The sequence below is a fragment of the Homo sapiens genome, chromosome 15, assembly GCF_000001405.40.
Source record: "Homo sapiens chromosome 15, GRCh38.p14 Primary Assembly".
Taxonomy (NCBI): Eukaryota; Metazoa; Chordata; class Mammalia; order Primates; family Hominidae; genus Homo; species Homo sapiens.
The window spans coordinates 39876341-39896031 of record NC_000015.10 but is presented as its reverse complement, the minus strand read 5'-3'; the positions used below and the strand labels follow the sequence as shown (position 1 = coordinate 39896031).

The 19691-nt window shown below is 42.8% G+C and overlaps 1 protein-coding gene across 3 annotated transcripts in view, besides 6 other annotated features; it reads left to right on the top strand.

Moving 5' to 3' along the window:
• The window catches only part of GPR176 (G protein-coupled receptor 176), a 121259-nt gene that overhangs the window by 24235 nt on the left and 77333 nt on the right, over positions 1-19691 (top strand). The window lies entirely within an intron of this gene.
• Positions 901-1426: an enhancer, noted in NCBI's record as "H3K27ac-H3K4me1 hESC enhancer chr15:40186807-40187332 (GRCh37/hg19 assembly coordinates)". NCBI's record gives its function as "activates a minimal SCP1, AML or CMV promoter by ChIP-STARR-seq in primed H9 embryonic stem cells {active_cell/tissue: H9 hESC(primed)}" and the evidence as "EXISTENCE:reporter gene assay evidence [ECO:0000049][PMID:30033119]".
• Positions 8304-8834: an enhancer, noted in NCBI's record as "OCT4-NANOG hESC enhancer chr15:40179399-40179929 (GRCh37/hg19 assembly coordinates)". NCBI's record gives its function as "activates a minimal SCP1, AML or CMV promoter by ChIP-STARR-seq in primed H9 embryonic stem cells {active_cell/tissue: H9 hESC(primed)}" and the evidence as "EXISTENCE:reporter gene assay evidence [ECO:0000049][PMID:30033119]".
• Positions 9367-9898: an enhancer, noted in NCBI's record as "NANOG-H3K27ac-H3K4me1 hESC enhancer chr15:40178335-40178866 (GRCh37/hg19 assembly coordinates)". NCBI's record gives its function as "activates a minimal SCP1, AML or CMV promoter by ChIP-STARR-seq in primed H9 embryonic stem cells {active_cell/tissue: H9 hESC(primed)}" and the evidence as "EXISTENCE:reporter gene assay evidence [ECO:0000049][PMID:30033119]".
• Positions 9899-10431: an enhancer, noted in NCBI's record as "NANOG-H3K27ac-H3K4me1 hESC enhancer chr15:40177802-40178334 (GRCh37/hg19 assembly coordinates)". NCBI's record gives its function as "activates a minimal SCP1, AML or CMV promoter by ChIP-STARR-seq in primed H9 embryonic stem cells {active_cell/tissue: H9 hESC(primed)}" and the evidence as "EXISTENCE:reporter gene assay evidence [ECO:0000049][PMID:30033119]".
• Positions 10711-11380: an enhancer, noted in NCBI's record as "H3K27ac-H3K4me1 hESC enhancer chr15:40176853-40177522 (GRCh37/hg19 assembly coordinates)". NCBI's record gives its function as "activates a minimal SCP1, AML or CMV promoter by ChIP-STARR-seq in naive and primed H9 embryonic stem cells {active_cell/tissue: H9 hESC(naive and primed)}" and the evidence as "EXISTENCE:reporter gene assay evidence [ECO:0000049][PMID:30033119]".
• Positions 11381-12051: an enhancer, noted in NCBI's record as "H3K27ac-H3K4me1 hESC enhancer chr15:40176182-40176852 (GRCh37/hg19 assembly coordinates)". NCBI's record gives its function as "activates a minimal SCP1, AML or CMV promoter by ChIP-STARR-seq in primed H9 embryonic stem cells {active_cell/tissue: H9 hESC(primed)}" and the evidence as "EXISTENCE:reporter gene assay evidence [ECO:0000049][PMID:30033119]".

The window sequence follows — 19691 nt, the reverse complement described above, 5'->3', positions numbered from 1 at the left end:
GTGATGAATCTCCTTTAATTACAAAAATTTAAGTATCTTTTTCAATGGAGTAGTTTTCTAGGAAGAGAGTTTTGCTTGAATATTTTAAATATTTCCTATCGAAGCTTTTAATACTGGAAAGTTTTTCAGAAAGGCTTTGATAGTTTATAGTTTTACCAATAATTGTGGAAGAGTAAAGGGTAAGTAATTTAACTGAGCTTCAGTTTTTAAATATATTTGCATCATAACATTGGGAGGATATGGCCTAACATAAAGTACCTAGCTCAGCGACTGGCAAATATTATTAATGTTTTTAGTGTCTGCTTTAATATATTAAGTGTCCATACCATATCATTAAATGCTCTACCACCCTCATCATCCATTAAAAAAAGGGAAAATAAGCTTTTACAGAGTTGTATTTGTTGTGATATAGAATTATGTGTGAGTATCTAGCCTAATGTTCTCTTTTTGAAAACTGCCTTTTAAAGTAAATATGTTTATTAAGGTGAAAAGTAGAGGGGAAAGACAGTGTGGTATTTATTAAAAGTATTTCTTTTGAATTAATTTTTAAAAACCAGGAAATTATGGCAGTTCTTTGAAAGCTTGGCCCAACTGTTCATTGTATTTATACTGGTTTTAATATAGTGTCAAATCTTATGTTGCACAAATGCTTGAATTCAATGTGTGTTTCAGTTGCATGTGTATTGGCTGGTGGGAGAAGCAAGTGAGTTAGAGATCGCCCTCCCCCTCCCCCTCCCCCTCTTCCTCTCCCCACGGTCTCCCTCTCCCTCTCCCCATGGTCTCCCTCTCCCTCTCCCCACGGTCTCCCTCTCCCTCTCTTTCCACGGTCTCCCTCTCATGCTGAGCCGAAGCTGGACTGTACTGCTGCCATCTCGGCTCACTGCAACCTCCCTGCCTGATTCTCCTGACTCAGCCTGCCGAGTACCTGCGATTGCAGGCTGGCGCCGCCACGCCTGACTGGTTTTGGTGGAGACCGGGTTTCGCTATGTTGGCCAGGCCGGTCTCCAACCCCTAACTGCAAGTGATCCGCCAGCCTCGGCCTCCCGAGGTGCGGGGATTGCAGACGGAGTCTCGTTCACTCAGTGCTCAATGGTGCCCAGGCTGGAGTGCAGTGGCGTGATCTCGGCTCGCTACAACCTCCACCTCCCAGCCGCCTGCCTTGGCCTCCCAAAGTGCCGAGATTGCAGAAAGATTGCAGCCTCTGCCCGGCCACCACCCCGTCTGGGAAGTGAGGAGCGTCTCTGCCTGGCCGCCCATCATCTGGGATGTGAGGAGCCCCTCTGCCTGGCTGCCCAGTCTGGAAAGTGAGGAGCGTCTCCGCCCGGCCGCCATCCCACCTAGGAAGTGAGGAGCACCTCTTCCCGGCCGCCATCACATCTAGGAAGTGAGGAGCGTCTCTGCCCGGCCGCCCATCGTCTGAGATGTGGGGAGCGCCTCTGCCCTGCCGCCCCGTCTGGGATGTGAGGAGCACCTCTGCCCGGCCGCGACCCTGTCTGGGAGGTGAGGAGCATCTCTGCCTGCCGCCCCCTCTGAGAAGTGAGGAGACCCTCTGCCCGGCAACCGCCCCGTCTGAGAAGTGAGGAGCCCCTCCGCCCGGCAGCCGCCCCGTCTGGGAAGTGAGGAGTGTCTCCGCCCGGCAGCCACCCCGTCCGGGAGGGAGGTGGGGGGGTCAGCCCCCTGCCAGGCTAGCCGCCCCGTCCGGGAGGGAGGTGGGGGGGTCAGCCCCCCGCCCGGCCAGCCGCCCCGTCCGGGAGGGAGGTGGGGGGGTCAGCCCCCAACCCGGCCAGCCGCCCCGTCCGGGAGGTGAGGGGCGCCTCTGCCCGGCCACCCCTACTGGGAAGTGAGGAGCCCCTCTGCCAGGCCAGCCGCCCCATCCGGGAGGGAGGTGGGGGGGTCAGCCCCCGCCTGGCCAGCCGCCCCGTCCGGGAGGGAGGTGGGGGGGTCAGCCCCCCGCCTGGCCAGCCGCCCCGTCCGGGAGGTGAGGGGCGCCTCTGCCTGGCCGCCCCTACTGGGAAGTGAGGAGCCCCTCTGCCAGGCCAGCCGCCCCATCCGGGAGGGAGGTGGGGGGGTCAGCCCCCCGCCCGGCCAGCCGCCCCGTCCGGGAGGGAGGTTGGGGGGGGTCAGCCCCCAACCCGGCCAGCCGCCCCGTCCGGGAGGTGAGGGGCGCCTCTGCCCGGCCGCCCCTACTGGGAAGTGAGGAGCCCCTCTGCCAGGCCAGCCGCCCCATCCGGGAGGGAGGTGGGGGGGTCAGCCCCCGCCTGGCCAGCCGCCCCGCCCGGGAGGGAGGTGGGGGGGTCAGCCCCCCGCCCGGCCAGCCGCCCCGCCCGGGAGGTGATGGGCGCCTCTGCCCGGCCGCCCCTACTGGGAAGTGAGGAGCCCCTCTGCCCGGCCACCACCCCGTCTGGGAGGTGTGCCCAACAGCTCATTGAGAACAGGCCAGGATGACAATGGCGGCTTTGTGGAATAGAAAGGCGGGAAAGTTGGGGAAAAGATTGAGAAATCGGATGGTTGCCGTGTCTGTGTAGAAAGAAGTAGACATGGGAGACTTTTCATTTTGTTCTGTACTAAGAAAACTTCTTCTGCCTTGGGATCCTGTTGATCTGTGACCTTACCCCCAACCCTGTGCTCTCTGAAACATGTGCTGTGTCCACTCAGGGTTAAATGGATTAAGGGCGGTGCAAGATGTGCTTTGTTAAACAGATGCTTGAAGGCAGCATGCTCGTTAAGAGTCATCACCACTCCCTAATCTCAAGTACCCAGGGACACAAACACTGCGGAAGGCTGCAGGGCCCTCTGCCTAGGAAAACCAGAGACCTTTGTTCACTTGTTTATCTGCTGACCTTCCCTCCACTATTGTCCTATGACCCTGCCAAATCCCCCTGTGTGAGAAACACCCAAGAATTATCAATAAAAAATAAATAAATTTAAAAAAAAAAGAGAGTTAGAGATCAATATTCTCGATATGCCAAATTGTCAGTGTTAATTAAAATGATTTGAGGGTGGTGAGCCACCTTAAAAGAAGGCATAAAATGGTATGGTAATTTTAATAACTAAATCAAGAAATAATGAAACTTTATATCTTATTTTTCTCATTTCTACCTATTCTACAGCATAGAGCTTGGCCGCATTAGTTTCCTAAGACTGCTGTAACAAACTCCTACAAACCAAATGGCTTAAAACAGCAGAAATGTATTTTCTCACAGTTCCAGAGACCAGAAGTCTGAAATCAAGCTGCCGGCAGGGCTGGTTCCTTCTGAAGGCTCTGAGGGAGTCTGTTCATGCCTCAGTCCTAGCTTTTGGCGGCTGCCTGCATCCTTGGCCTTCCTTGGCTTGTAGCTGCATCACTCCAGTCCCTGCCTCTGTGGTCACATGGGCTTCTTCCATATGTCTCATCTGTCTCTGTGTGTTCTCTCTTCTTATAAGGAAGGGCTCACCCTAATGCAATGCGACCTCATCTTGATTACTACATCTGCAAAGATTGTTTCTAAAAAAGGTCGTATTCGCAGCTGGCCAGGGGAGAGGGTGAGGTAGAGGAGGGGTTATTACATGAACATATCTTTTTGTGAGGACACAGTTCAACTCTTTACAGTGGCAAACACTAAGTTCAAATAGAAACTCATAATCTCTGCTTCCTCCACATCCACTACTGTCATCTCTAACTTCAGTTTATTTGGTCATATTACTTAATGTAATGTAATTACAGTAGGCTTCCCATGCCTACTGTATTTGGTTTAAGTTTGTCTGCTTGGCTCTACCTTTGATAGACAAGATGATTTCTGATAGTAAGAAATAGCTCTTTCTCAGCTTGAATCTTACTTTTTTTCTCTCTTTGTGCTGTCACCCCTGCAGGGAAGGCCTCCTTTCTTCATCTAAGTAAGTCTTATTCCTAAGGATGGGGTGCTTCATACTTTCTTTTTCCCTATAGCACCTGGCACAGTGCTAACACATATGTGCTCAATAATTATTTTAATTGATTTTCAGATAAAGTAGAAGGATATAGATTATAGATTGGAAAGAAAAGTAAATAATGGCTTTACATGCTTGAGTCCCAAAATTCAAGTTGCTTCAGAAGAAAATTCAAGTTGGTCTGCTTGATAGCTTCAATTAATCAAGTAGAATATTGTTTTCTCTTTGTTTTAACATTTCTACCTGGAGCACTAGTATCATTTTTTAATTTTAATTTTATTTTTTTAGAGACAAGGTCTCTCTCTGTCATCCAGGCTGGAGTGCAGTGGTGCAATCATAACTCACTACAGTCTCCAACTCCTGGGCTTAAGTGGTCCTCCAACCTCAGCCTCCCAAGTAGCTGGTAGTACAGGTATATGCCACCACTCAGTACTGTATTTTAGTTTCATTCTGGTGCCCGTCTGTTTTGGCTCTAAGATAGCATGAACATGCCAGGCATGGTGGCACATGCTTGTAATCTGAGTGCTTTGGGAGGCTGAAGCAGGATCACTTGAGGCCAGGAGTTTCAGACTTAGACTGGGAAACATAGTGAGACCATGTCCCTGAAAAAAGTCAGGTATGGTGTGTACCTGTAGTCTCAGCTACTTGGAAGGCTGAAATGAGAGGATCGCTTGAGCTTAGGATTGGAAGCTGCAGTGAGCTACGCACCACTGCACTCCAGCCTGGGCGACACAGCAAGAACTCATCTTTAACAACAAAAAAACCCCGAAAATATCATGAGCAGTTGCTCCTGTCAAGAGCATCTCTTGAGAGTGGCCCTTTGGAATTGAGTAGTATAGAATCATATACTTTGATTTTGACTGTAAATTATACTTTTTGTTTTATTTTTAAACAGGTTTGTGGCATTTATTATGTGCCAGGCTCTAGTCTATTTGCTAAGCAAATAGAAGTTTTTGTTATTTATTGTCAATACTGAGCTCAGTGTCTGAAAGATAATTTCTTATCAGTGGTATAATATCTAAAAGCATAAATGAAACCAGCTGTGTAGTTTGTTTTATCTTTATTATCATCATTGTTACATAGCTAAAAAGATTTAAGAGGTTTTGCTCATCTATTCTTCTCTACCTCTTCAAAAAGAGGCCCAAGGCAACACTGCTACCTCCCCCTTGGGTTCTGTCTTACTCCATTAAACTCTACAATTATAAATTTGAAGGGATATATACCAGGGTGCCAAATTTAGTATATGGCCTTATGGAAGCCTAGTCAAGCCCAAGCCCAACTCATCCATGGTCTGGTGGACCTCAGCTCCAGCTCAGGTTTCTTACCATTACCAGGCCCAGAGCCATTAACTGGGCTCTGATGGTGAGAAGATTTATGTTTCTGTTTTGTCATGGGCAAAAGGATAGGAGTCAGTAAGGGTTCCTTTGTCTGGGTGATATTGAACACTTGTGTGTGTGTGGTATTTGTAGCTAGAATGAATGAATATTTGCTAAGCAAATAGAGCTTGGCACATAATAAATGCCACAAACCTGTTTAAAAATAAAATAAAAAGTATAATTTACAGTCAAAATCAAAGTATATGATTCTATACTACTCAATTTCAAAGGGCCACTCTCAGAATCTCCATACTTTCCCAGTGGTCTGCGCCTAAGGCGTATCTCCTCAGCCTTCCATTCACCTCTGTTTTGAGATCTTTGTCCTTGGTCTGTTAAGTTTCATAAACTGTAACTTTTGGCAAATGGGAAATGTCCTCACAAAGGAGTCCCTTCAGTTTTCAGTGCAATCTCTTCTATAGTGACCTGCAAAAAACCCGAATTAGAAAATTAGTGTGAATAGGTATTTTTACAAAATAAGTTGGCACTTGCTGAGCTTAATTTTTTCCTGCCTTTATGTTCACAGAAAAGAGACATTGTAAGTCTTAAGGGCAGTGGTGTGCTGGTAAATGTTTAACATCAGGCTCTCTCTAAGAAAACCCAAATTTGTAGTGGTTTGTGATTTTCGTAGGCTCTAAAAAAAGCCAGGCGTGGTGATATTTTCATATCATCATATTGAAAATGATGATCAAAATTTTCATCATTTTGAAATTGGCCATGATGAAAATATCATCATTCAAACTCCCAGTGTGACCTCACTGAAGTGGAGTTGGGCAGATATATGGACATAGGCTCTAAAACACCTCTGCAATAGGCCTTGGGTAGATGGAGAATTGAGGGGATGTGCCTTAGATCTGGCGCTTAGAGAGGCTATGGAGATGCTGAGACTAGCTTTTCTCTGTGTTTTCTTTTGTGCATACATTCATTCTACAAATATTTACTAAGCACCTGCCATGTGCCAAGCATTGCTCTAGGTACTAGGGATATAGTAGGGAACCAAACAAAGTCCTTACCTCCAAGGAGTTTGCGTCCCAGTGAAGGTATTCACAAACTTGCAATTTCACCTCCTTGGGACCCTAGCGTTCTCATATTTGGGACAGTTAGAGTCAAGGTCCCATAACACTTTAATGTTTTGTTTTGTTTTATTTTATTTTATTTTATTTTATTTTATTTTATTTTATTTTATTTTATTTTATTTTATTTTTGAGATGGAATTTTGCTGTTATTGCCCAGGCTGGAGTGCAATGGCACAATCTCAGCTCACTGCAACCTCCACCTCCTGGGTTCAAGTGATTCTCCTGCCTCATTCCCCCAAGTAGCTGGGATTACAGGTGTGCGCCACCATGCCTGGCTATTTTTATATTTTTAGTAGAGATGAAGTTTCTCCATGTTAGTCAGGCTGGTCTCGAATTTCCAACCTCAGGTGATCCACCCACCTCAGCCTCCCAAAGTGTTGGGATTACAGGCGTAAACCACTGTGGCCGGCCAATACTTTAATTTATTAAATGAAGGAAATAGCATGGGCCTATTTTAGTTTTCCTAGTTGTAAAGCAGGGATTATGGAGGAGGAGGTAGAATTGCTCTCTGAATTGTCTCCATCTTGGAGTCACAGAGATCTAAACCTTGCAATGTCAGGAGCACTGGCTTATCTTACATGGGAAACTCATGGTAGATAAAGCTTAGTTAGAAAGTTTGTTGTGTAGATTCTCTGATGCCCTCTCCAGGCTGATAAGGTTCTAACGTAATCTCTGGTGATCAGCCTTTGTCCTTCCTGGATTCCTTTTTAAATAGCTGGTGCCTCAAGGGGGAAAATTGGAGAGCAGGGATGATAAGAGTCTTGCTGGGAGTTCCAGTCCCCTAACTAACCCAGAGGAGGTGACTGTTTATCGCAAACAATTACCTGTCTCATTAAAAGTTATCACAGCTAGAAGCTTATGGAGTGGATAAGCTTCTGGAAATGGAAATTGTGTCTAAGAATCGGGAAGGTTCATATCCTCAAGATGGGTAGGAAAGGGATTGATGAGGCTACTCTGATGGTAGAACTCTGGAGAGAAAGATGATTTACACATTGTAGGGGAAGAAAAAAAATGTTCTCTTTACCTTTCTGAATTCTGGGCTGGGACCCTTGTAACAAAAGGTAGATTAAGAGGAGAAGAATAAGCTGGGCAAGGTGGCTCAAACATGTAATCCCAGCACTTTGGAAGTCCAAGGCAGGAGGATCAGTTGAGGCCAGGAGTTTGAGGTTATGGTGAGTTATGATCACAGCATGGCACTACAGCTTGGGCAACAGAGCAAGAGTCTTAGCCAAGTGTGATGGCCTGTGCCTGTAGTCCTAGCTGCTTGGGGGACTGAGGTGAGAGGATTGCTTGAGCCCAGGAGTTTAAGGATACAGAGAGCTATGATCATGTCGCTACACTCCAGCCTGAGCAACAGGGTGAGACCTTGTCTCCAAACAAACAAACAAAAAAAACAAATAAAAAGCAGATTCCCTTCACCCCCCAAAAAAACCAACAAGAGAAAAGCAAGAAGTTAACACATATGTGTTATATGTATATGGGAGATACCAGAGAAGTGAATAGATCTCAAAGAGGTGGCTTAGTACTCTGGCTTTACAGCATTTTCAACAAAGAACAGTAAATATTTAGATAAATGACTGCAGAAAGGGAAAGGACCTTGAGTCTCTAGGCGTGGCAAACTGTGGGAAGACAAATAAAATACATGGGAAACTCCTGGTAGATAAAGCTAAGTTAGAAAGTTTGTTGTGTAGATTCATTCCTCTGGTGCCCTCTCCAGGCTGGTGATCAGCCTTTGTCCTTCCTAGACTCCTTTGCAGATAGGAGGATGGCAGAGAGCTTCTTTTATATCTGCATCTTCCCAGTTGCCTTCAACTCCAAATAATCCTTATGCCAAAGTGGCATATTTTGGGATGGCATATTCAGCTACCCTTCAACATACTCCTCTGGAAGAGGATTTAGGATTCTCAGTAAAGAACTTTGAATCTTTCCGCTTGAAAATCATTGTGCCAGGCTTACTAATAGGTGGTATGATTTGAGCGGGTGAGATTTTCTTCTAGGAAAATAAGTCCTCAGGAAATTCCAGAAGCTTTAGACAAGTAAAAGCAGAAAGGAGACAAGCTTTTTTTTTTTTTTTTTTAAATTTAAATTAACTGTTGGATGCTGCATAAATCCTGGTCAGGTTTGCATGATTCTGCAGAGCCTCTGCCTTTGCTGTTTTTCACCTGTTGGATGAATGATTCATTTGCCCCTGCTGTTTCTCACCTGTTGGATGAATGATGCTGCTGTTTTACACAGCGGCATTCCAGCAAATGTGGGTGGTGGGCCATTCACCTCTTTGTGTTGATCTGGAAATATGCATTGTTCCATTTATGCCTGAGCCACCTCAGTCTTCCTCATTAGCAAGGACTTACATATGCACTATGCTGGCTTGGAATTTAATTCTTGACTGTGCTGTTTTTAACCAAATAAGGAAAACCCTGGCCTTTTTCTGCTTCTAGGACCCAGCCACTTTTGAGTTGCCAGTGTGTTTCCAAGTATGGATTTTGGATTACCTGCATCAGAACCACTTCCTGTGCTTGTTAAAAATATTCATTTCTGGGATGCACTCCCAATCTACTGAACCACAGCCTCTGGAGTGAGGCTTAGGAATTTGCATTTTTAATATGTTTCTCAGGTAATTCATAGGTACATCAAAGTTTGAGAATCACTGGTTTAGACTCATAGAATATTAGAGAGGAAATAACCTCGTGTTCCCTTGGGGTCCCAACGTATGGCCCATTGGAACAAATGCAGACTGCTTGATGCTGGAGTTAAGCCTGGGAAAGGTTGGTAGCATACTTTTTCCATTTAAATTAGGAATTAGGATACCCACACAATCTGGTAGGTCAGTAAGGACAAAGCCCCCTCTTAAGGATCACTATTATGTGACACCTTGCTATTAGCAGGCCCAGGTCTGTCATTACAGTTGAAGGTGAACATAATTAATTACAGGCATTTCATTTTCAGCTGTTACAGTTTAATTCTCCTAATGTTATATTATGGAACCGGAACATTTGCATAATAATTTACAAAGGAGATCAGTGTGAGTAAGCACTTTTTGTGCCTTTGACTCAAGCTTTGTCACTCTAATTAGTATTCGTGTGCCAAGTGTGGATTCTCTCAACTCATTAAAATTTTTGAGATCATTCAGGCTTCACACTTAGATGTTTCAGACCATTTGGCCCACCGTTGAGGGAAAAACAACACAGATATCTTAACTTGGTCCAATGCTGTAATTTTATAGATGTGAAAATCAAGATGGGGGTGGGGGATGAAGTGACTTGTGCAAGCATGTCAGGGCTGGAACAAGTCCCCAGGTTGTGCTGCTTCTAGGTGGGTGTTCTTTCCTTCTTACTGCTGACACTCAGCAGGAGGGAAGTATACCTGTAAAATTCTCTGCTGAGTCTTACAGTTCCTGGTAGGCAAAGTCTAATATTCCCATTTCTTTCTTTCTTTTTTTTTTTGAGACAGAATTTCACTCTTGTTGCTCAGGCTGGAGTGCAATGGCACGATCTGGGCTCACCGCAACCTCCTACTCCCGGGTTCAAGTGATTCTCCTGCCCCAGCCTCCCGAGTAGCTGGGATTACAGGCGCCCGCCACCATGCCTGGCTAATTTTGTATTTTTATTAGAGACGAGGTTTCTCCATGTTGGTGAGTCTCATCTCAAACTCCCGACCTCAGGTGATCCACCCACCTTGGCCTCCCAAAATGTTGGGATTACAGGCATGAGCCACTGTGCCTGGCCTAATATTCCCATTTCTAAAGATGCATTGTTTAGTGTTCCCTTGTGAAAGCAGGGAAATTGCATTGAATTGTCTATTCAGTATGAGACTTGGAGAAACTGTCTTTCTCTTGTCTTCTACATCAGTGTCTTGTTCTACATCACTTTTTGAGATAGGTACAGTGCATGGCTGAAACATGTAATTATTTTTCTTTCTTGCCATAAGCAAATGGAATCAGCAATCTATTATTTTCTATTTTTCTTACATATAACAAGATCCAGAAGATATATGCATAGCAACAAAAAAGGACATTGTGTGATTACAAAATTCCTATGATAAATCTTTATTCAGAAATAAAGATTCTGAAATAAAGATTGCTTCATACCTAGATGAAGCAATCTAGACCAGGGGACTGCCCTCAGTGCCTGTGAGAGCAGGTGTGTTGTAATTATCAAGTCCTGTGATAATTGTGCTACACTTAATTAATTGGAAGACTTGTCTCTAATTTACTTTGGAGACCTCCAGGTGATTCAGTTAATGGGGTAGAGCAAGGAGGTGGGGGATGGATTTGTTTTTATTTTGCATTTCCATTTTTCCTTCTTACTCCCTGATTTGCTTTGGAGGCCATCCTGGCTTTTAAAAAGGGCACAAATATATTTCTTATGTGGAATTGGCAGGAAACACACTCTGTTGAACAGAGCAATGCTAGAGGGTTAGCTTGATTCCCTCAGAGGTTGCTGAGGAGCTGGTATATCTTTATGTCCTCTTTTCAAATGCTCTTTGAGGTTGTTGCTAAAGTAGTTTTTTTATAATAGAGTGTGTGATCAATCCTTTTGGGGAAATATGGGTAACATAAGTCAATTGTGAAGAGTAAGTTTGATGGCAAACGATCGGGAACTTAGAACTATTTCTTGAAGGGAAAAAAACTGAAGTTAGTAGACAGTTTGAGGTTTAAGTTGATGGTTTTTGACTTGTAGAACTTAGCAAAAACTTTAAATGTTCTTTATCCTGTGGCAGCCTCTGCTCCTTGCCTACTCAGTATCCATGCTTTTATTATTCCTTATTTAAAGGACCCCGGTTTTGTTTAGGGCAACAATGTGCCCAGATAAAAATACCTTCCAGACTCTTGTGCAGAGTGGGGGTGGCTGTGTCACCAGGTCTGACCAGCGGGTTGTGAGTGGAAGTTTACTGGGTGGAGCTCTGAAATGCTATTTTTCCTGGTAAAAATGAAAAGCTGGGGCATGTCTTTTGCCCTTGGCCTTGACCCTTTCCCCCTTCTGCCTGGTATACAACACCTAAGGATACATTCTGCCTGGATACAACACCTAGGGTTAGAATAACCATCTTGCAACTATGAGAACACAAACCATGTGGGAAGAATGGCAGGGAGGAAATTAGAAGTCTAGGTCCTTGCCATAATGACTTCTTTGAGCAGCTGCCCCAGCCCTCTTCTGGAATGTGGGTTACATGAGAAAAACAACCTTTATCAATTAAGCCATTGTAGTTGGATTTCTGATACATAAAGTCAAATACAAACTTGGAAAACTGCTAGTTAGGTGGTCCTTATACAAGGTGTGTTTAATCATAGTATAATTCAATGGACAGTTTAGCTTATTACATAGAGTTGGAAATTTTGGATATAGAGAGATTCCCATGTCTGCTAGGCTTATTTTTTGGAAATTACAATATGCAGAAACTTTCCAAATATTGGTCCACGTAAGGCAGTGCCTAACAGCAATTGGGTATTACCTGCACTGTTTGCAGCTCTTTGCTGAAGGAGTATTATGTCAAAAGTCAGAGGGATTAGGAGCCAACAAGTTAGTGTGACCCCTTGTTTGAAGGGAGTGGGCCCAGAGGGGTTTGCCTACAACCCACAGGTAAGCTCTGTGAGCACGACCTGGTAACTGCTTCTGAGAGATGTTTGGAGTTCTTTTATTTTTCCTCTTCTGGGGCAGAGATGTTGGTCCAGGATCACATCCGTCCATAAATCTGTTACCTTATTTGAGGCAGTTCCATTGAGCAGGCTTTCTTGAATACATTCATTAATCAGCAAATAACCATATTTCTGAATAAAGATTTATCATAGGAATTTTGTAATCACACAGTGTCCTTTTTTGTTGCTATGCATGTATCTTCTGGATCTTGTTATATGTAAGAAAAATAGAAAACAATAGATTGCTGATCCCATTTGCTTATGGCAAGAAAGGAAAATAATTACATGGTGAACGTTCCAGGACCTTTAGACCTATGAAGAAGAAAATTGTCCAAGGACCACACAGAATATTGTAGAGAGTATTTATGTGCCATCATGATGTTTCTCAGACTTTTAGCAACTGCAGACCACCTAGACACTGCTTTATGTACGAGTAGACCATAATTTGAGGTAAATTTTTAAGAAGTAAAAAAATTTTAATAATGAAAAACTTGTTTGATAAATGAGATGGGGGAAACTTTGGGAGGTGATGGATATATTTGTCTTTCCTTCATGGTGGTAATGGTTTCACGAGTGTATACCCCAAACTATTTGAATTGTGTACATTAAATATGTATAGCTTTTTTCATGTTACTCATACCTCAATGAAGTGTTTTTTTTTAAAAAGCATGCTTGAAAATTAATAGTAAACGTTTCTCATATCAGTGAAAGATAGTATAATTCTGAAGTAAAATATCTAATATTTAGCTATATGATGGGTTCCTTATCTAGTGTTTTTTCCTTCTTCATTATTTTACCAAAATAGAAAATACTTCGTTATAATTAGAGTCTGTCAAGAATAGCAGTAAATGTATGATGGTTCCATCAGTTTGGAAAGTTTGGATAATTCAGATTGAAACTGTCTAGAAATAGTGGCAAGATTTCCACCTGAAAATCAGAGTCAGGGTTTCATCACGTACGAAGTCTACAAGTCTCTAAGCACATCTTCAAACTTGCTGTTCAGTCTTCTCAAAGAAGCTCTATACTTACTCTCAGTGTTCAACATAAACATGTTTGGGTTCTGGATGAGAGGATCAGGAATATCCAGATACTAACTGCATTGCCGACATTTGCCACTTGAAGCTATGGAACTGCTCCTTCCTGACATTATCTGTGTGGAACAGGAATGTTCCAGTCTCATTCATCATTTCAAAAGTCTGCATGAGCACCCTTGATGACAACCACAGTGCTTCTGGGGGAACAATCAGTCTAATGCCCTCTGCCCATTTCTTTGCAGAACATGCTGAGAAAACATATACTCAGATCTGATTATATTCACACTTGAAACTATTTTCTACAACACCACATTAAGATTAGAAACCATATTGTTGTGTGTCATCTGTTTTGGTGAATAAAGAAGTGGGTGTTTTGGCATAAAGGTAACACTTTTATTTGTGTCACACCTTCTTCCTTGCTGCAAACATAGCTGGTTATTTCATCAGCACTGATCCTAGTGAACCTTTTCCAATTTATATTATTGCCTACAAAAGAAATGTTAACTCATGAAAAGTCTCTTCCGTAGATTGGGTTCTTGGTAACACATAGAGCCAAGAGTTTTTAAGTACTTATCCCTCAAATATGTTCCACTAATATGCTAGTTGATATGCATACTCTGCATATCATTGATTTCACTTAACTATAAGGCAAAATACATGCTAGTGTACATATGTGATTGTAATTCTTCCACATTGCATGCCGTTGATATGTAATGTTTGATAGAGCCATTAATAATTTTGCCAATACTTGCATAGTCCAATTTTCCTCTGAGCATGTGATTTGTCATTAACCTTGTGACTGGCTTTATCAGTTTCTTAGAAATAGAATAATCTTTATTTGTTTTGTCTCAGGAATATAACTTTGAGTAATGCTTCTGTAGTTTTGGTCTCTTTCTGCCCTTAATGACAAAATGAGTCAATTTCATTCCAGAAAGCATTATTTTGTACTTGTTTTGGAACAATTCAGGAAGTTTAATAGGGACATTGCTGTGCACATTTTGAAATGTAGTTTGAAAATGTTATGAAATCTTTGACGCTTCTAGCTGCTCTTTGATAAGAATTTGTGACAGAAACACACTGGCAAATGGAATAATTGTCCAATATATTCCTTGGCAGCTGCTGGGACCAACTTCACTTGTGAGAAACCATCCCAGTTGCATATTCACATTTTTTACTTGTACTAGAGTGAGATTCACTGTTTGTATTTAAAACATTATTGTGAGGTCTAGGATTTTTGTTGCTATATTCATTACTATGTTTATACTGTAATGAGCACTTTTGAACCATCTATTCATTTGTGTGAGCTGGGGATAAAACAAAACACATTAGTAACAGTGAGAAATGTAAATTTCATTAACAGAGAGTAACACACAAAGATGTTAAACTATGTTAAAAGGGACCAGTTGCACTCAGTACTGCTTTTAAGATTGTGGTGAGTGTGATGATTATTAAGAACATAACCGCATTGCTGTGAAAAATCCTAATCAGTTTTGCATTCAAGTGTAAGGTGTATGGGAATAAAACAATTTCTCTCAAACAGCCAAATCCCGCCACTGGACACTTGACCGATTGATTGCCTGAGAACGCTATACTGTTAGGTCCTTTAGTGACATAGTAGGTAGTAGGTAGACAGTCATGCCTTTTAATAGGAAGTTTCTAAATGTATCCATTCATTCATCAGCATTAATTGAATGCTAAATATATGCCAACCACTTTATTAAATGCTGGAGATATAAAGATGACTAAGATTCAGTTGCTTCCCCAGGGAGCCGGTTTATGGTCTGTTGGGGAAGACAGAAATATGAACTAAGTTATAATTCATTATGCTAAGTGCAATGCTGGAGACAGGCCAGTGAGAGCAAAGCATGGTACTTGGAGATCATAGACAGGGTGGTGGGAGCATAAATTATAAGGTGAAAAGTGAGGCTGGAGGGGTGGGCAGAAACTAGATCCCACAAGATGGAACTGGCTGGTTAGGAAGCTTTGAGTTTGTCTTCTAGGCCTCAAGGAGCCATGGAGTGGTTTTAAACAGGGCAGTGATAAGGACAGGTTTATGTTTTAGCAAGATAATTCTGTGGGCTGGGTGAAGGCTGGAGATGATGGAGGTAAAACTAGAAGTAGGGAGACTAATTATGAGGCTGTCGTGATTTCTAGCTGAGATATAATGAGGACTTAGGCAAGGGCATGGCAACAGGGTTAAAGAGTTTGTGACACATTCAAGAAGTAAAGGAGATAACATTTTCAGGACTTGGTGATTGACCAGGGGTGAAGGTTGCGTTAAGACAGAGCCAAGGATGATGCTTAGTTCTCTATATTGGGCTTCTGAGGGGGTGGAGGGGAAAGAGAGAGAGTGTGAAAGAGATTGAGTTTAGGAGAAGCAGGTGGGGTAAAATAAGGTATATAGGAGACAAAGCATTAGGTATTAAGTTTGGTACAAATTGACTTTGAGGCACCTGTGAAATACCCAATTTGATCTAAGAATCTAAAGCTGGAGGGTCATCAAGTATTGAAGTCATCAAAATTGAGTGGTAGCTCAAACCATGAGAGTAGATGAGTTCACCTAATGTAGAGTGGACCTTTTAACAAGCAGGTTTAAGAAGAGGAGTGCCATATAGGAGACAGCAGACAGTAAATAAATGGTCAAAGAGGTGGCAGGAGAGCTGTGGTAGAGAAGTGCCTCAGAAGCAAAGGGAGCAGAGGATTTCCAGGAGGGAGTGATAATAGCATCAGACCCAGCAGGGAGAGACCAGACAGTGTCCACTGGATGCAGAGGAATGCATGATGACTTTGGGAGAGAACTGTTTCAAAAGAGTGGTGGGGGTCCATTGCTGTACTTTTGGAAGTGAGTGGAAGGTGAGAGAGTGAATTTCTCCCTTTGAAGCCACTGTGCCAGGAGTTGAAGATTTCCTAGCCAGAGAAGTTCTGAGTCTTGAGAAGGTTGAAGGTGTTCACTGTGTGCATGAGTAAAGAGCAGGTTAAGTTCATTTGTTGATAAGTATAGGAATTGTGGGTCTTGTCACCCACATAGGACTTTGAAATTATCCTAAATAATGGCAAGGCCTGGGTGGGACAGAGGCTATGAGTCAGATACTAAAATCTTTAGCAAATGAGAAGGAGTTACCTGGAGGCTGATAGGTTACAAAAACAAAGAGGGAGTAGAAAGAGATGTAACCAGATGACAGGAGTTAAAGGAGTCTGGATTTTATATAAATATAGAAGGGCAGTGTGTTAGATGTACAAATAGGGAGTGAGTGAGGAATAGGATGACCTTATTCCCAACTTCGAGGTGGGGTGCCCAGGAGACTGCACAGCATCCAGTGGGGAAGCGGGCCCTTGGGTTTTGGTTAAGGCCAAGGTCTGTGAGGTAGGCACGATGTTGTCAAGTGTTAGTCCTGTCATGCAACAAGTTGCAGAGGGTCCAGTAAGAGGTTAGAGAGGAAAGGGGAGTAAGGTCAAGGAGGGGGAGCTCTGAGCAGCATGGGCATGAGGGTTTGAGAGTACAGTTTTGCACATATGACAAGGATGTGAAGTGTGGTGGCATTAATTGGCCTGAACATTTCAATAGACCTTTGGGATGAAGTTGCTTTAGGTTTCCCACAGGCATCTAAATATCAGCTGATGACCACTGACCTGTTCCAGTCAAGGCTGTGTGGCTCCTGGGACCATATTTTTCCAACATTACTGAAGGAGGTTAAGTGGGCTCCCAAGCAGCAACACCCTCATTGGTCAAGGTTTTAGTACTGGACAGGGAGTTAAGAAACAGGGTTTTAGGCTAGCTTTGCCTCTAACCTACTTTATGGACCTGGGCGAATCACTTAAACTTTTAAGGCCTCACTTTCCTTATTTTTAAGTGAGGGGTAGGCCCAGTAGTCTGTAAAATGATAGTTGACCCATTTGTTCTCTAGTTTTCTTCCATTAAATGTGGCACTTACGGTACTGTTGTAGTATCATTACAGCACTCAGTAACCTCTCAGTAATCTTCACCAAGGTGTACCACCCTTCAGGCCTAGCCACATATACATACATCCAGCAACGCCTACTCTCATCTTACCTCATCTGTGATGTTCAGGAAGGACCGTGTCCTCAGTGCCTAAATACATAGGGGTTTCTTCAGTGTTGGCCTTTCGGCCAGCCACCCCTCCCTGACTGTCACTCTGGTCATTTACTTTTTGTTTTATTCTCTTCTTTAGAATAATAGTGAGCTTTATTATCCAAAGAGCTTTAAAGTGGTTTTACAACTAAAGGCAGGAAACCTCGTACACTGGTATGAATGTAAATTAATTGGAACAACCATATGGAAAAGGGTATATAGAGGTTCTTAAAAAAACTAAAAACAGAACTACCATATGATCCAGCAGTCCCACTTATGGGCATGTATCCAAAGGAAATAAAATTGGTATCTCTAAGAGATAACTGCATTCCTATGTTCATTGCAGCATTATTCACAGTAGTCAAGATATAGAGTCAACCTGTGTCTGTAGACAGATGAATGGATAAAAAAATGTGATACACACACACACACACACACACACACAAATATTATTTGGTCACAAGGAAGAAGTCTTGTCATTTGCAACAGCATGGGTGATCCTGGAGGACATTGTGCTAAGTATAATAAGCCAGCCACAAAAAGACAGTACTGTATGATTTCACTTATATGTGGAATCTAAAAACATTGAACTCATGGAAGCAGAGGGTAGAATGATGGCTGTCAGGGGTGGGAGAAATGGGGAGATGTTGGTCAAAGGGTAAAAAGGTTCAGTTGTACAGGATTAATATGTTCTGGAGATCTGAGGTACAATGTGGTGACTACTGTTAGTAATACTGTATTGTACACTTGAAATTTGCCAAGAGAGATCTTAAATGTTCTCAACACACACACACACACACACACACACACACACACACACAGGTAACTATGGGAGGTGATGGATATGTTAATTAGCTTGATTGTGGTAATCATAATGTACATGTATATCAAAACATCATGTATACCTTGAATATATACAGTTTTTATTTTCAGTTATACTTCAGTAAAGCTGGGAAGAAAGAAGTGCTTATAGTGAAGGAAAATGCGGCTGTGTCATTGTTTTGAACATCTCTGTTGGGAAATACTGCATGAGTAATGGAAAGAGCATGGAGTTGGGGCAGGGTGCGGTGGCTCACTCCTGTAATCTCAGTGTTGTGGGAGGCCAAGGCGGGCAGATCACTTGAGGTCAGGAGTTTGAGACCAGCCTGGCTAATATTGTGAAACCCCATCTCTGCCAAAAAATACAAAAATTAGCCAGGTGTGGTGGCGTCTGCCTGTAGTCCTAGCTACTTGGGAGGCTGAAGCAGGAGAATTGCCTGCACCCGGGAGGTGCAGGTTGCAGTGACCTGAGATCCGTCATTGCACTCCAGCCTAGGCAACAGAGCAAGGCTCCAACTCAAAACAAACAAACAAAAAAAAAAAAAAAAGAAGAAGAAGAAGAAGAGCATGTGATTAGGAGCCAGGAGTCCTGGGCTTGATGCATCTGCGACCTAGTTCATAGGTGAATGCTAATTTAATACAAGGCAATAAAATGTTTAGAAAAATATTTGCTCACATTTGATGGAACATCTTTTGTGTTTGCCTACATTTGGATTTGGGGGAATTTGGGGTGAATATGACTATAAATGAGTGTGTTCAGGGATGTTCACTTAAACGTATCAGTGTGGCTGGGGTTGGGGGAGAGGAGAAACTTATTCTCCTCTTAGCTTTGTCCTCCATCTTGTTTTTGTGTTTTCTGGCAACAGTAACTTTGATAAAAGAGATCTTCCCAAGCCTGATGAGACAGCAAACTAGGGAATGAAAGAAGGGAGGATATAAATAGCACTGAGGACCAACATGGATTTTTTTAGGTGTTTCAGAGCTGCTAGACTCAATAATTGGGTTTTCTTATGAGACTTTTAATTGCTTTATTAAGAAAAATAGGATAAAATAAAATTGAACAAATTAGGCAGCCAAGCTCTGGAACTAGTAAAGAAGGCTCTATTTGTGAGTTGAAGAAGTAACCTTATTTTTTCCCCCTGATTCTAAGACTACTTTGAAGGAACAGAAGATAATGTAGATCACCTATTCTCTTTCATTCTCTCTCTCTCTCTGTCTCTGTCTCTGTCTCTCTTTCTCTCTCTCCCTCCCTCCCTCTCTCCCTCTCTCTCTCTCTCTTTTTGTAACAGGGTCTGGCTCTGGAGTACAGTGGTGGGATCTCAGCTCACTGCAACCTCAACCTCCTGGGCTCCAACCATCCTCCCACCTCCCAAGTGGCTGGGACTACACACCCAGCTAATTTTTGTATTTTTTTTTTATAGAGAGGGGGTTTTGCCATGTTCTCACTGTGAAAATTTACTACCAGAAAATAGGCTAAGAAAAATAATAGCTTTCATGAGATACTGGATAGGCCATTCCATAATAATAGCAATAGAAATTAAATTATAAACATTAACATAAACATCAACATCATTAACATTATATCCCTCACTGAAACAACTGGTAGAACACCACTTTGAGAATTGCAGCTCATACTGATCTTGTATGCAAGAAGATGAGAGAGAAGGTGTGTTTAAATCCAATTTTATTAGGCCTTAGTTCGCTGTGCACAAGAGGGTAGTAGCAATGGATTTAAGTTCAAAGGAAAAAGAGGTTCCT